Source organism: Homo sapiens, chromosome 20, assembly GCF_000001405.40.
Source record: "Homo sapiens chromosome 20, GRCh38.p14 Primary Assembly".
In the NCBI taxonomy this organism is placed as follows: domain Eukaryota; kingdom Metazoa; phylum Chordata; class Mammalia; order Primates; family Hominidae; genus Homo; species Homo sapiens.
In genome coordinates this window covers 25,631,274-25,643,965 of record NC_000020.11, presented here as the reverse complement: position 1 = coordinate 25,643,965, position 12,692 = coordinate 25,631,274, and the positions used below count along the sequence as shown (strand labels likewise).

General features: G+C 38.9%; 1 long non-coding RNA gene across 3 annotated transcripts in view, besides 1 other annotated feature; it reads right to left on the bottom strand.

Annotated features, from left to right (window-relative positions):
• The window catches only part of ZNF337-AS1 (ZNF337 antisense RNA 1), a 54,030-nt gene that overhangs the window by 34,109 nt on the left and 7,229 nt on the right, over nt 1-12,692 (bottom strand). Inside the window, exons 2-4 of one of the 3 annotated variants that reach the window (NR_126467.1) lie at nt 11,678-11,808; nt 9,796-9,917; nt 9,139-9,237 (exon numbers count right to left, since the gene is read on the bottom strand). The exons of 1 other annotated variant lie outside the window; for it this stretch is intronic. This is a non-coding gene — a long non-coding RNA (ZNF337 antisense RNA 1). The remainder of the gene's footprint in view (nt 1-9,138; nt 9,238-9,795; nt 9,918-11,677; nt 11,809-12,692) is intronic. One more of the 3 variants, NR_126466.1, reaches the window with a different exon arrangement.
• Nucleotides 9,589-9,638: an enhancer, noted in NCBI's record as "active region_17672". NCBI's record gives its function as "activates an Ori minimal core promoter by ATAC-STARR-seq in GM12878 lymphoblastoid cells {active_cell/tissue: GM12878}" and the evidence as "EXISTENCE:reporter gene assay evidence [ECO:0000049][PMID:35858748]".

Genomic DNA, 12,692 nt, shown 5'->3' with positions numbered 1-12,692 from the left:
GACTCACATCCTGTGCAGATGGCACACCTGGTCCTGGTGGTTTTTCACACCCTATGTAGATCAGACACTGCCTCCCCACTAGCTCATCTATAAAATCCCCTGCATTTCACCATGGATCAGCAACCCATTTTTCTAGGACCTCTCTCTGCAGCAGAGAGCTATTCTCTTTCACTTATTAAATTTCTGCTCTTAAAGTCATTCTTTGTGTGTCTGCATCCTTGATCTCCATGGATGTGAGATAATAAACTTCAAGTGTCACCCCAGATGATGAGGCCACTTTACTGAGGCTGTGTCACAGGCATGCATCCTCAACCTTGGCAAAATGAACTTTCTAAATTAACTGAGACCTGTCTCAGATTTTCAGGGTATACATTTTGGTAACTACAAAGGGATTCTGAGTGGAGGTGCCCCTGACCTTTGACAAATCTCTTAACAGTGCTTGATACCAGTTTGAGCTATCTTTATGGCTCAAACCAGTAGGACAATTTGCTGAAGCCTGAAGGCCCCCCACCCCCAGACAATCTCTGATCTCCCAAGATTTAAAGTTTATTTTGCTGTACAACTTCTTTTTTTTTTTTTTAATTTTACTCACTTCCAACACAATCAAGGCAAGTTTTTCCTGCTTCCATGAAATTCTTGGAAGGCAGGTAATTCCTTTATGGAGCTTGAGCTCCCTTCCAACAGGGAAGACAGATTCGAGTTTGTTCCTGCTTCTAGGATGGTAGAGAGCATTCTTTCTCCTGAGACCCATCCCTAGGAAAGTGACTGAATTGGGGTTTGTCTTGGCTAAAGTTTAACAACGAGCTGGTCTTAATTTCTCCTTGCCATTGGAGCACTCAGTAATCATAGAAGTTGTGTCATTATTTGTTTTCCTTAACAGTTTTCTTGTTGTTATTTCTTTCTGTTTTTGTTGCTGTGTTGGTCTTTTTCCCATTTGGTTTGATCAACTCTATCTGACTTGATCAAATCCAGAGAAAAGTTCCAAATTATGGAGAACAAGGCCTCTGAAATGGCTAAATTCACACACACACACACACACACACACACACACACACACACACAAAGGTGATGTGGTGGGGGGAGAAAAATGGCTGGCAAAAGGAAAAAAAAGAGGAAAGATTTTTGACTTTGACTACTAAAGGGGCTTTATTTACATAACAAGGCTGCCTTTTTGCTAGCCAGGCCAAACTGAAACAGCAATGGCTGTACTTCTGAAATAGCAGTAATTTGTCCTAGCTGAAATATGGACATGAGATTTTAAGATTTTTTTCCAAATGATCTCAATGGTTAAAAGTCAGCTTAGTTGAAAGCTAACATCCAAGATGTGTACGCGCGCACGCGCGCGCGCGTGTGTGTGTGTGTGTGTGTGTGTGTGTTTAAAAGGCCTTCATATTTTTGTTTCTCTCCTAGGACCTTGTCTTTTTTTTAAGCAAATTTTTTTTTTCTTCTCAGTTGACTGAATTCTGTTTTCTTCATTTACTTCTGCTGTCTCTCCTTTCTCCTGCACCTTCTGCTGCATGAGGGACCTAAAACAGTTTATGATAGCCAGGGGTTCCTTAAAGAAAATGATGAAGGAGCCAGCCACACTGACTCATGCATGTAATCCCAATGCTTTGGGAGGCCAAGGTGGGCGAATCACCTGAGGTCAGGAGTTCAAGACCAGCCTTGCCAACAAGGTTGGTCTTTGGTAAAGACAGCCTTGAAACCCCGTCTCTACTAAAAATACAAAAATTAGCCAGGCATTGTGGTGCGTGCCTGTAATCCCAACTACTCAGGAGGCTGAGGCAGGATAATTGCTTGAACCCGGGAGGTGGAAGTTGCAGTGAGCCAAGATTGCACCACTGCACTCCAGGCCGGGCATGGTGGCTCACGCCTGTAATCCCAGCACTTTGGGAGGCCGAGACAGGTGGATCACCTGAGGTCAGGAGTTCGAGAACAGCCTGGCCAACCTGGTGAAACCCATCTCTACTAAAAATACAAAAATTAGCTGGGTGTGGTGGTGGGCGCCTATAATCCCAGCTACTCAGGAGGCTGAGGCAGGAGAATCACTTGAACCCAGGAGGTGGAGGTTGCAGTGAGCCAAGATCATACCATTGCACTTCAGCCTGGGCAACACAGTGAGACTCTGTCTCAAAAAAAAAAAAAAAAAAGAAAAGAAAAGAAGGCACCAGACTCCCGATGCCCTTTTGGGGAGAAATCTCTGTTTTTAGTTATGGAACCCCAAGAGTGTAAACAGACAAGTTCATCTTAGCTCTTAAACTGCTTACTTTTATATTATGTTACCTGTTTCTTTTTTCCTTTTTTTTTTAAACTAAAATAGTTATTGCAACAGAGGCTACACTTGGGTTTTTAAGGAAGAGTGTAGTTTAGACACATAAAAATGTCTTTGTTTAAAAAAAACTTTAAGTGCACTGTAAAAGCATCACCTGCCCTAACCTCATCATAATTCTCCCTTTTTGGAGACCTAGGATTTAGTGTGGGCTCTTCTCAGACCTCAGAGATCCAGTTAAAAATAGGTAGTCCCTATCTAAATAAAATTGGTCTCCTTGTACAATCCTATGATAAATTTCTATAATTTTGTTTGATTGTTATGCATCTTTAATCTCCCTCTAGCATCTTTAATCTCCCTCTAGCACCACCAGACTTTCTCTGTCTACATTATGATGTAAATTTTGCTATTTGATTTTCACCTCAGTTGTTTCCTTCAATAGCAAAATTTAAGGCTATTTAGCTGACAACTGTCTAGGGTTGTGAAACAGGTTATCAAGAATCTGAAAGTCTAAGACAGAGGAAAAAAACAGTTTTTATGAATCTATAAGATATATTTCTATAGGCATGCCTAATACATCTATGTATTCATGTGTTGTGTATACAATGTTTCACTACTGTCAATATATAATAGAGCTCTAATTAATTGGCTTAAGAAAATAAAAGTGCTTGAATCAAATACATTATCAGGAAAAAAGAACAGAGCAGTCAAATGCTTTTTCAAGTTTACATAACAATTTAAATCTTTAATAAATAAGTTTGTTTTAAGATTGTTGGTAAAGTAATATTAGAAATGTCTTAAGAATTGCCAGCAAACATTTTTGTTTGCATTTATTAATCAAGCAATTTCATACTTATCCCTGACAAATACTATTTGCTGTCAAAATTTGGTATAGGGGCTACAAAACTGTAAACCCAACCCAAAACAGAATAATCTTTGCTTATGTAATTTTTAATAAATAAGACATTGATATTGGTTTAATCAAAATAGCTACATCTTGAATTATTCAGTAAAATTACCATAATTTCTAATCTTGTGGCTTTAGGCAATTGAGTCCACAAACAATAAGGAGGTTTGTTTGGGAAAGGACAGTTACTGTCTTTGCTTCAAAGCTAAACTATAAACTAAGTTTCTCCCATAGTTTGGCCTATACCCAGGAATGAACAAGAACAGCTTGGAGGTAAGAAGCAAAATGGAGTCAGTTAGGTTAGAACTTTTTCACTGTTTCAGTTATAATTTTGCAATGGCGGTTTCATAACTTTAAACAATAATGATCACAGTTTCCATAAATAATCTAGGTAAACTATTAAAATAAAATAGGTAAATGTAATGGGATAAATACTTGTTGACAAACTTGTCATAATTTAGAGTCTAAAGTTATATTAAATTAAATAATAGATATTTCATTATTTGAGTATTTTCCAATTAAGATAATTGAAGGAAAAAAAGTGTCCTTTTTAAAAATGGTGAACAATTTTTGTCTAACTCAAAGCTTATTTAAAGGTTACATACAAAACGAGGTAAAAGGGACCAAGAAATAAGAGAGATGTAAAGAAAGTTATCAAAATAAAGAGGGTTGTTTTTGGTTAAATAAATAAATAAAAAGAAATCATTTTATATGAGAAAGAATCTTGTATGGTAGATTTAGTCCTAGAATAAACCGACTGGTTGTTTAAGAAAGAGGGATGTTTAGGCCGGGCACTGTGGCTCATACCTCTAATCCCAGCACTTTGGGAGGCCGAGGTGGGCGGATCACGAGGTCAAGAGATCGAGACCATCCTGGTCAACATGGTGAAACCCCGTCTCTACTAAAATACAAAAATTAGCTGGGCGTGGTGGTACGTGCCTGTAGTCCCAGCTGCTCGGGAGGCTGAGGCAGGAGGATAGCTTGAACCCGGGAAGCGGAGGTTGCAGGGAGCCGAGATCACACCATTGCACTCCAGCCTGGGTGACAGAGCGAGACTCCATCTCAAAAAAAAAAAAAAAAATATATATATATATATATATATATATATATATATATATATATATATATATATAAAGAAAGAGGGATGTTTAGAACACACCAGAAAGTCCAAGTCATGAACACTCTGTGTAAGTCACAATAAGAGGATTTATTTTAAAACAAAGAAAAGAAAAAAACAAAAAAGAGGCCAGGCACAGTGACTCATGCCTGTAATCCCAGCACTCTGGGAGGCCAAGGTGGGCAGATCACCTGAGGTCAGGAGTTGGAGACCAGCCTGGCCAACGTGGCAAAACCACATCTCTACTAAAAATACAAAAATTAGCCAGGTATGGTGATGCATGCCTGTAATCCCACCTATTCGGGAGGCTGAGGCAGGAGAATCACTTGAACCTCAGAGGCAGATGTTGCAGTTGCAGTGAGCTGAGATCACATCACTGAACTTCAGCCTGGGCAACAGAGCAAGACTCTGTCAAAAAAAAAAAAAAAACCTTTTATATGATCAAGTTGTCTATAATTAAAAGGAAATTATAGTGATCTTTCTAGAGATTGGGCTTGATGTGAAAAAAAACACTTATACATTAAATAATTGCCTAGAACAATGACATTTTCCTAAGGGATTGATTTACTCTTAATAGATTATAAGATATTTTAATTTTTTTAACCCAAAGTTCAACTTTTACTGCATCTTGCCATTTTTTTTCTCTCCCTTCTGAAATAGTAACCCCCTCCTTCAATTCATTTTCAGCTCATATAAGTTTTCAAGTTCTGTTTGTTGAGGTCTGATGCTAACAGTATTTTCTTAAAGGTCTAAACAAAATGTTTTCTTCCAATGTAATATTCTGTGCAGTGCAGAAGGTGTTTTCTTTTGCCTTTTGGTAACTGGCCTAACAGACTTTATGGTTTATTGAAACAATTCCTATGCCATTATTATTAAGTTTTGGTTTGCTTAGGAAAAAACTGAGATTAAAACAATTTTTTAAATTAAAGTTATTATATCCATATATCTTTCTGTATGTGCTTTTAGAGTCCTTGTGACATTGATTTATAAGGCCTTGACTCCTGGGTCTAAAAAGGACACCAAGTCCTGCTAAATCTTAAACACTGACAGCAATTAAAGCCTCATCTTCAGGCCTGGTAAAAGATGCCAATCAAAATAAACTGCATTCCTGAGACACAGAAATTAAAGCTATTCAACTCCTCAAGGCCAAGGGACTATCAAGAAAGAGGTGGGCATGTGAGATTGTATGGGCTGATTTTGAGAGATAAAATAGTTCAGTTTCTCTATAAATTAACCTTTAATGTCAAAGGCACACAAATGCAAGACCAGCATATGGGCCCCTGTGTCAGATTAACAAGGTTTTCTTAAAGCATTAACTGACTCCCTAATAAAGGTTATAAATGCTATAAAAAGTTTATGGAAGTTATAACTTATGATTAACATTAAAATTTTATAGATTGTTTATAAAATTTTGAAAAACAAATTTAATTGGCTTCATGCTGTTTTCATTAGGGCTTATCATTTGGAAAATTAAGTTTCCTCTCTGAAAGAATGAAGGTTTTCAACCTTTTTTGAAATCCTTAAGTTATCACTTCAGTTAAATGAATAATATATTTTACAATGACCTGTAATCTCATTTTGCAATATTGAGTGTTTTAAACCTTTGATATTTGACAAACTTTCCAAAGTGAAATTATAAATTATGTCTTTTTCTGACATAATTAATCCTTTAAGGTATAAAGTTCCCTAAAGTCCAAAAATGACATATATGGGGGTTTTTTGGTATAAAAATTATACAGGAAACATTGTCAAATATGAAATGCTCTTTGGTTTTCTTTGGGCTGTATTTGTATAAATATATTATTGATGTGTTCCAAAATTATGAAAAACTACAATTCTGATATGACTTAGTGTACATTATCAGTAATAATTATAATTATGTTAAATTATTGTGTGCCACAGAGGTAACAAGTTTTCTTCTCAATTGTGTCTTTGACTATCACTGCTCTAAAATTTTTTGTCATCCATGGACAATTGTTGTTTTGGTCCTCTTTAGAAGGTGGTTTTAAAATCGCTATAAAACTCTTAACAGGTGCTCCTCAATGCAAGTTTCTGATAACTTTGGAGGCTGCAACATCAGAATAGAGGAAAAACTTTCAGGACTCAAAGAGAGCCGAAATGTTCATGAATATCAAGCAAAACAAAAGTTAACTGCATGGACTGAACTAATAGAAGACTGAAGTAATCTTTTTGACTTTTTACGTAAAATGTTGCTGATCCTTTGTTCTGTTTTTTCAGTCAAACAAACCTTTCTTTTGAGCTACTGACAGCTTTTAACAATTAAGTATACTCCTATGAACAAAATCTGGAACATATTTGTTTCTCTCTATCTGATTTCTCCATAATTTGGGAGCTATTTGTGAGTATTCTTAACCTGTGGCAATATAGTTATTGCATAAGCAGAGTAAGAATCTGTTTTCATTTGTAACAGGACACAATTTGAGAATATGGTTATTTTACCAAGGCTTTGACTGGAATGGTGTGCTTTCCTTTAAGGAATCAAACTTGACTTACAGAGCCAATAAAAGCTCCTTGAGAAAACTGGCCCACATCTCATCTACACAGTTCCTGAACAGGGCTCCTGACCTGTAGTAAGTAGAGACTGTCATTTTCTGACAGGCCCAGGGCCCCAAGTTATCTGAAAGCCTCAAGAGGAGAATTCAGACAATTCATGAGTATTTGATGATACAAATCCATGGCTGTGCTTGGCTTTAAAAAGTCTCATCTGAGATTCCTTCTATGAAACAAAGTTCCATGAAAGCCAATTTTAAAAGCCTATTGAAAAAATCATTTTTCTTGCTGCACTTTATACAAATAAGCTGGTCAAGTATACTAAGCCAAATTGGTCCTATCATGACTTGTCTTTAGTAAAAATGGGAAACTAGAGAGAGAAAAATTATGCTTCAAAAACTATAGTACACCTGTTCTTAGAGTCTAGTCTTGCCTGTTCTTCAATTTTTATCATTTTCAACAGTTTGAACTGAATTCTAATTTTTCCTGGTTACTGATCTCCAAAATGTTTTCAATACTTTTCTTCTTTCTTTTCCTTTTTTTATTTTCCTAATTTGAAATCACTGAAAACTAAGATGTGATTTCTTAAAGCCCTGCAAACTGAATCTGGACAACTTAAACATCAGAAGAAAGTAACAGCAACCTATTTACTTACATAAGCCACTTTCATTCCTGCCTACTGATGTATAGACTTCAGAGTCATGTGGCCTATATTGATTTTCCAGGATTGTTCTTTTGTTTGTTGTTGTTTTTCTCCCTTTTTCTCCCTATTCTCTCTTCATAGAACATGAGAATTCTAACCTGCTAAAAATTGCTTTCTTAACTCAGGACCTACACATCTAGGATAAACCACCCTAGCCATGAATGATCCGAGAAAACCTGGGACCAGAGACTTGCTTTCTTCTAAAATGCTTTCTCCAAAAGATTTTAAAAAAAGAAAGGGGGGGAAATGTGAAAGGAAAATAAATCTTAGAGCCCAAAAATCACTAAACTAAAGGAAAAAGTCAAGCTGAAAACTGCTTAGGGCAAGCCTGCCTCCCATTCGATTTGAAGTCATCTATCCGCTCACTGAGATAAATGCTTATCTGATTACCTCCTTTGGAAAGGCTAATCAGAAACTCAAAAAAAATGCAACCATTTGCCTCTCACTTACCTGTGACCTGAAAGCATCCTCTGTGCTTGAGTGGTCCCACCTTTCCTGATGGAACCAATGTATATCTTACGTATATTGATTAATGTCTTATGTCTCCCTAAAATGTATAAAACCGGCCAGATGTGGTGGCTCATGCCTGTAATCCCAGCACTTTGGGAGGCCGAGGAGAGTGGATCACGAGGTCAGGAGTTCAAGACCAGCCTGGTAAAGATGATGAAACCCTGTCTCTACTAAAAATACAAAAATTAGCCGGGCGAGTGGCGGGCGCCTGTAATCCAAGCTACTCAGGAGGCTGAGGCAGAGAAGTGCTTGAACCTGGGAGGCGGAGTTTGCAGTGAACCAAGATTGCACCACTGCACTCCAGCCTGGGCAACAGAGTAAGACTCTGTCTCAAAACAAAACAAAACAAAACAAAAACAAGCTGTGCCCCAACCACCTTGGGCACATGTCATCAGGACCTCCTGAGGCTGTATCACAGGCACAGATTTTCAACCTTTGCAAAATAAACTTTCTGAATTCACTGAGACCTGTCTCAGATTTTTGAGGTTGACACGTGAAATCAGACATACTAGTAGAACAAAATAGAGCCCAGAACTAAATCAATACATTTATGGTCAATTGATTTTTGACAAAAGTGCCAAAGGGGAAAGGGCGATCTCTTCAATAGATGTTGCTGAGAAAACTGAATAACCACATACAGTAGAATGAAATCAGAACTTTGTCTCATACCATATTCAAAAATCAACTTAAAATGTATTACAAACTTAAATGTAAGACCTGAAACTAAAAAACTACTAAAAGAAAACTTAGGGGAAATGCTCCATGATATTGGCAAGGATTTTTTGGATATGACCCCAAAAGCACAGGTTACAAAAATATATAAATGGAATTAAATCAAACTAAATAGCTTCTGCACAGGAAAAAAAAAATCAACAGAGTGAAGAGACAACGAAAGGAATGGAAGAAAATATTTGTAAACCACATATCTGATAAGAGGTTAACATCCAAAGTATATAAGAAACTCAGGCCAGGTGTGGTGGCTCATGCCTGTAAACCTAGCACTTTGGAAGGCTGAGGTGGGTGGATCACCTGAGGTCAGGAGTTCGAGACCAGCCTGGCTAGCATGGTGAAACCCCGTCTTTACTAAAAATACAAAAATTAGCAGGCAAGGTGGCACACACCTGTAGTCCCAGCTATTTGGGAGGTTGAGGTAGCAGAATCACTTGAACCCTGGAGGTGGAGGTTCTCAGTGAGGTGAGATCATGCCACTGCACTCCAGCCTGGGTGAGAGAGAAAAAAAAAAGAATATGACAAATAGCAGTTTCAGTATGAGAAAGACATATACTTTCTTATACTTCTGTCATTGTCTGCTGCATGATTTATTCAGATATTTTGGAGGACAGGGAAAGCAGGATTCTGCAATTCTGAATAATGGAAACTGTAGCTAAGTATATAAAGCCCAGGTAGCAATTATCAGGTATTCTGATAATACTTTGACAACCTTGTTGGTCAGCTGGTATTAATTTGAGTGTGTTCTAGTTTAGTTATTATTCATTTGGTGTCTTCTTATTTTCACTTCTGACTTCAACAAATGCTTGGAAACTTATTCTGTATTTGGCACAGGTCTATGCTGTGGGAGAATAATAAATATATTAGTGCTCTCAAAAACTTGCAATAAATGGGCCAGGTGCAGTGGCTCATGCCTGTAATCCCAGCACTTTGGGAGGCCAAGGCAGGCAGATAACTTGAGGTCAGGAGTTTGAGACCAGCCTGGCCAACACGGTGAAACCCCATCTCTACTAAAAATACAAATATTAGCCAGGCGTGGTGGCAGGCACCTGTAATCTCAGCTACCCTTGAGGCTGAGGCAGGAGAATCACTGGAGCCTGGGAGGTGGAAGTTGCAGTGAACCAAGATGGTGCCAACACACTCCAGCTTGGGCAACAGAGCCAGACTTCATCTAAAAGAAAAGAAAAAAAACCAGCAATAAATACAGGATGACAGATGCAGGCTGGTAATTTGGGGATACTGTTGAGAACTAAAGAAATAAAGTGCCTGGGATCATGGGATGTAAAAAAATACTTCATGGAGAAAGTGGGCCTCAAGAATGGCTGTGACTAGACCAGTAATTAAGGAAGCAGGGGCCTCCACATTTTATCCTCCTGCACTCACTCTTCGGTAATAAGGGGACAGAAAAGGAGGGGCATGAAAGGAAGTCTTTTTTCATCCTACTTCTAGGGAAACTGCCCCAAGAAAACTTTGGTTGGCAGCTTCTATAAATCATTGTGAATCTTGTGATCCCCAACATGCAGAAGAATCTCCTCTGTTTACATTTAGGTCTCATAGTATTCCATCCTGCAGATATGCCAAATTTTATTTTGTGGTTCCTGAAGCACCCAAGGGTGGTTTCCACCCTTTTGAATATACAGTGCTGCAGGAAATGCTCTAGTATCTGCATCCTGTAAAAGTCGTGAAAGTATTTCCAAGGGTAAATTCCTAGCAGTGGGAATGATTGTTTAAGGGACAGATTATGCCAAATTATTCTCAAAGGAGGCTGCACCAATTTACATTCCCTCCACCAGTACCTAAGGGCCTGTTTTCCTACATGGTCACCAGCTCTGACTGTCAAATGTTAAACTTTTGCTTATCCCATATATGTAGGTGGTATCTTCTTATAGTTTGGATTTGCATTTCTTAAAATGTGAGTATGATTGACCACCTTTCCGGGATTAATTGGCTGTATTTACTTTTCTATCCTCTGGCCAAGCTAAGTGTTAAGAATCCAGGGAAGATACAATTTTGAGTCATCAGCATATACATACAGATGGTATTTAAAGTCATAAAAGTGAATGAGATCACCAAAGAAGTGCGTGTAATTAAGCAGCCCTGGGGCACTCTAATACCAGAAAGTCAGGGAAATGGGAGGAACCAGAAAAGAGACTAGGAAGAGTAGTCAGTGAGCCGGGAAGAAAATGAAGAAAGTGTGGTGTCCCAAAAGCCAAGTAAAGAAAGTTTATCAGCTGGGCACGGTGGCTTACACCTGTAATCCCAGCACTTTGGGAGGCCAAGATGGGTGGATCACTAGAGGTCAGGAGTTCGAGACCAGCCTGGGAAACATAGTGAAACCCCATCTCTACTAAAAATACAAAAATTAGCTGGGCACGGTGGTGCTCACCTGTAACCCCAGCTTCTTAGGAGGGTGAGGCAGGAAAATTGCTTGGACCCAGGAGGTGGAGATTGCAGTGAACCAGGATTGTGCCACTGCACTGCAGTCTGGGCAACAGACAACAGAGTGAGACTCCATCTCAAAAAGAAAAACAGAAAGAGAAAAAAAAAAGCTTATCAAGGAGAAAGCAGTGACTGGCTAGTTCAAATGCTACTGATAGGACAAATAAGAAGAGGCCAGGAAATGGCGATTGAAGAGCAAGGTGAAGGTCATTGGTGGCCTGACAAGAGTAGTTTCGGTGGAGTGGTGTCAGTGAAATGCTAAATGGAGTGGATTCAAAGGGTGGGAGAACTTTGAAGATGCAAAACCAAGGAGGAAAGAATTGCTGAAAGATGCCCCTCAGTAAGGGTGGGATCCAGCAAACAACAGAAAGGGCTGGCGGTAGCTGGGTAGATGTGGGAGCCTAAGATTCTCTTCTGGTTGCTTCTGTTTCATCCCTATAAACCTGACAGTGCCCTAATCTGAGAAAACTTTAAACCAGAAGGCACACTTGCCCTTGAGGCCGTTCAGTTGTAATAAACTTGCACAGGGGAGGTAGTTGGGAAGGGCCAGGAGAACTTCCCCTAATATAGGAGACGACAGGCTCAACGCTGGGCATCAGCATCCGCACAACAATGGTGCCATTCTGCAGATGGAAGAATGCAGGAGAAACATGACTACAGTTGCATTTCCATTCATTCCTAGATCAAGTCTCACAGTCAAAAATCTTTTTTTTTTTTTTTTTTTTTGAGGCAGAGTCTTATTGTCGCCGAGGCTAAAGTGCAGAGGCAGGACCATAGCTCACTGTAGCCTCAACCTCCTGAGCTCAAGCTATTCTCCCACCTCAGCCTCCCAAGCAGATGGGACCACAGGCACACACCACTACACCCAGCTAATTTTCAAATTTTTTGTAGATATGGGGTCTCACCATGTTGGCCAGCCTGGTCTCAAACTCCTGGCCTAAAGCAATCTGACTGCCTCAGCCTCCCAAAGTGCTGAGGTTATAGGCATGAGCCACTGAGAACAGTGACTTACAAATCTTCTATTCAAACCTTGTTTCCTGCAAATTTGAAGATGTCCTCTAACTACTAGTGTTAATCTATCAAAATGGCAGTTTAAGTACTGTGCTTAGCAAACAGGTTCATCTGTAATGAGTCTGTACATCTCCCCTCCTTAAAATGCTACACGAAGACTCATTCATCCACAAATGTTAGACTAAATCCATAAACACCCTAGAAGAAAACTTAGGCAATACCATTCAGGACATAGGTGTGGGCAAGGACTTCATGACTAAAACACCTAAAGCAATGGCAACAAAAGCGAAAATAGACAAATGGGATCTAATTAAACTAAAGAGCTTCTGCACAGCAAAAGAAACTACCATCATAGTAAACAGGTAACCTACAGAATGGGAGAAAATTTTTGCAATCTACCCATCTGACAAAGGGCTAATATGCAGAATCTACAAAGAACTTAAACAAATTTACAAGAAAAAATCAAACAACCCCATCAAAAATTGGGCAAAGGATA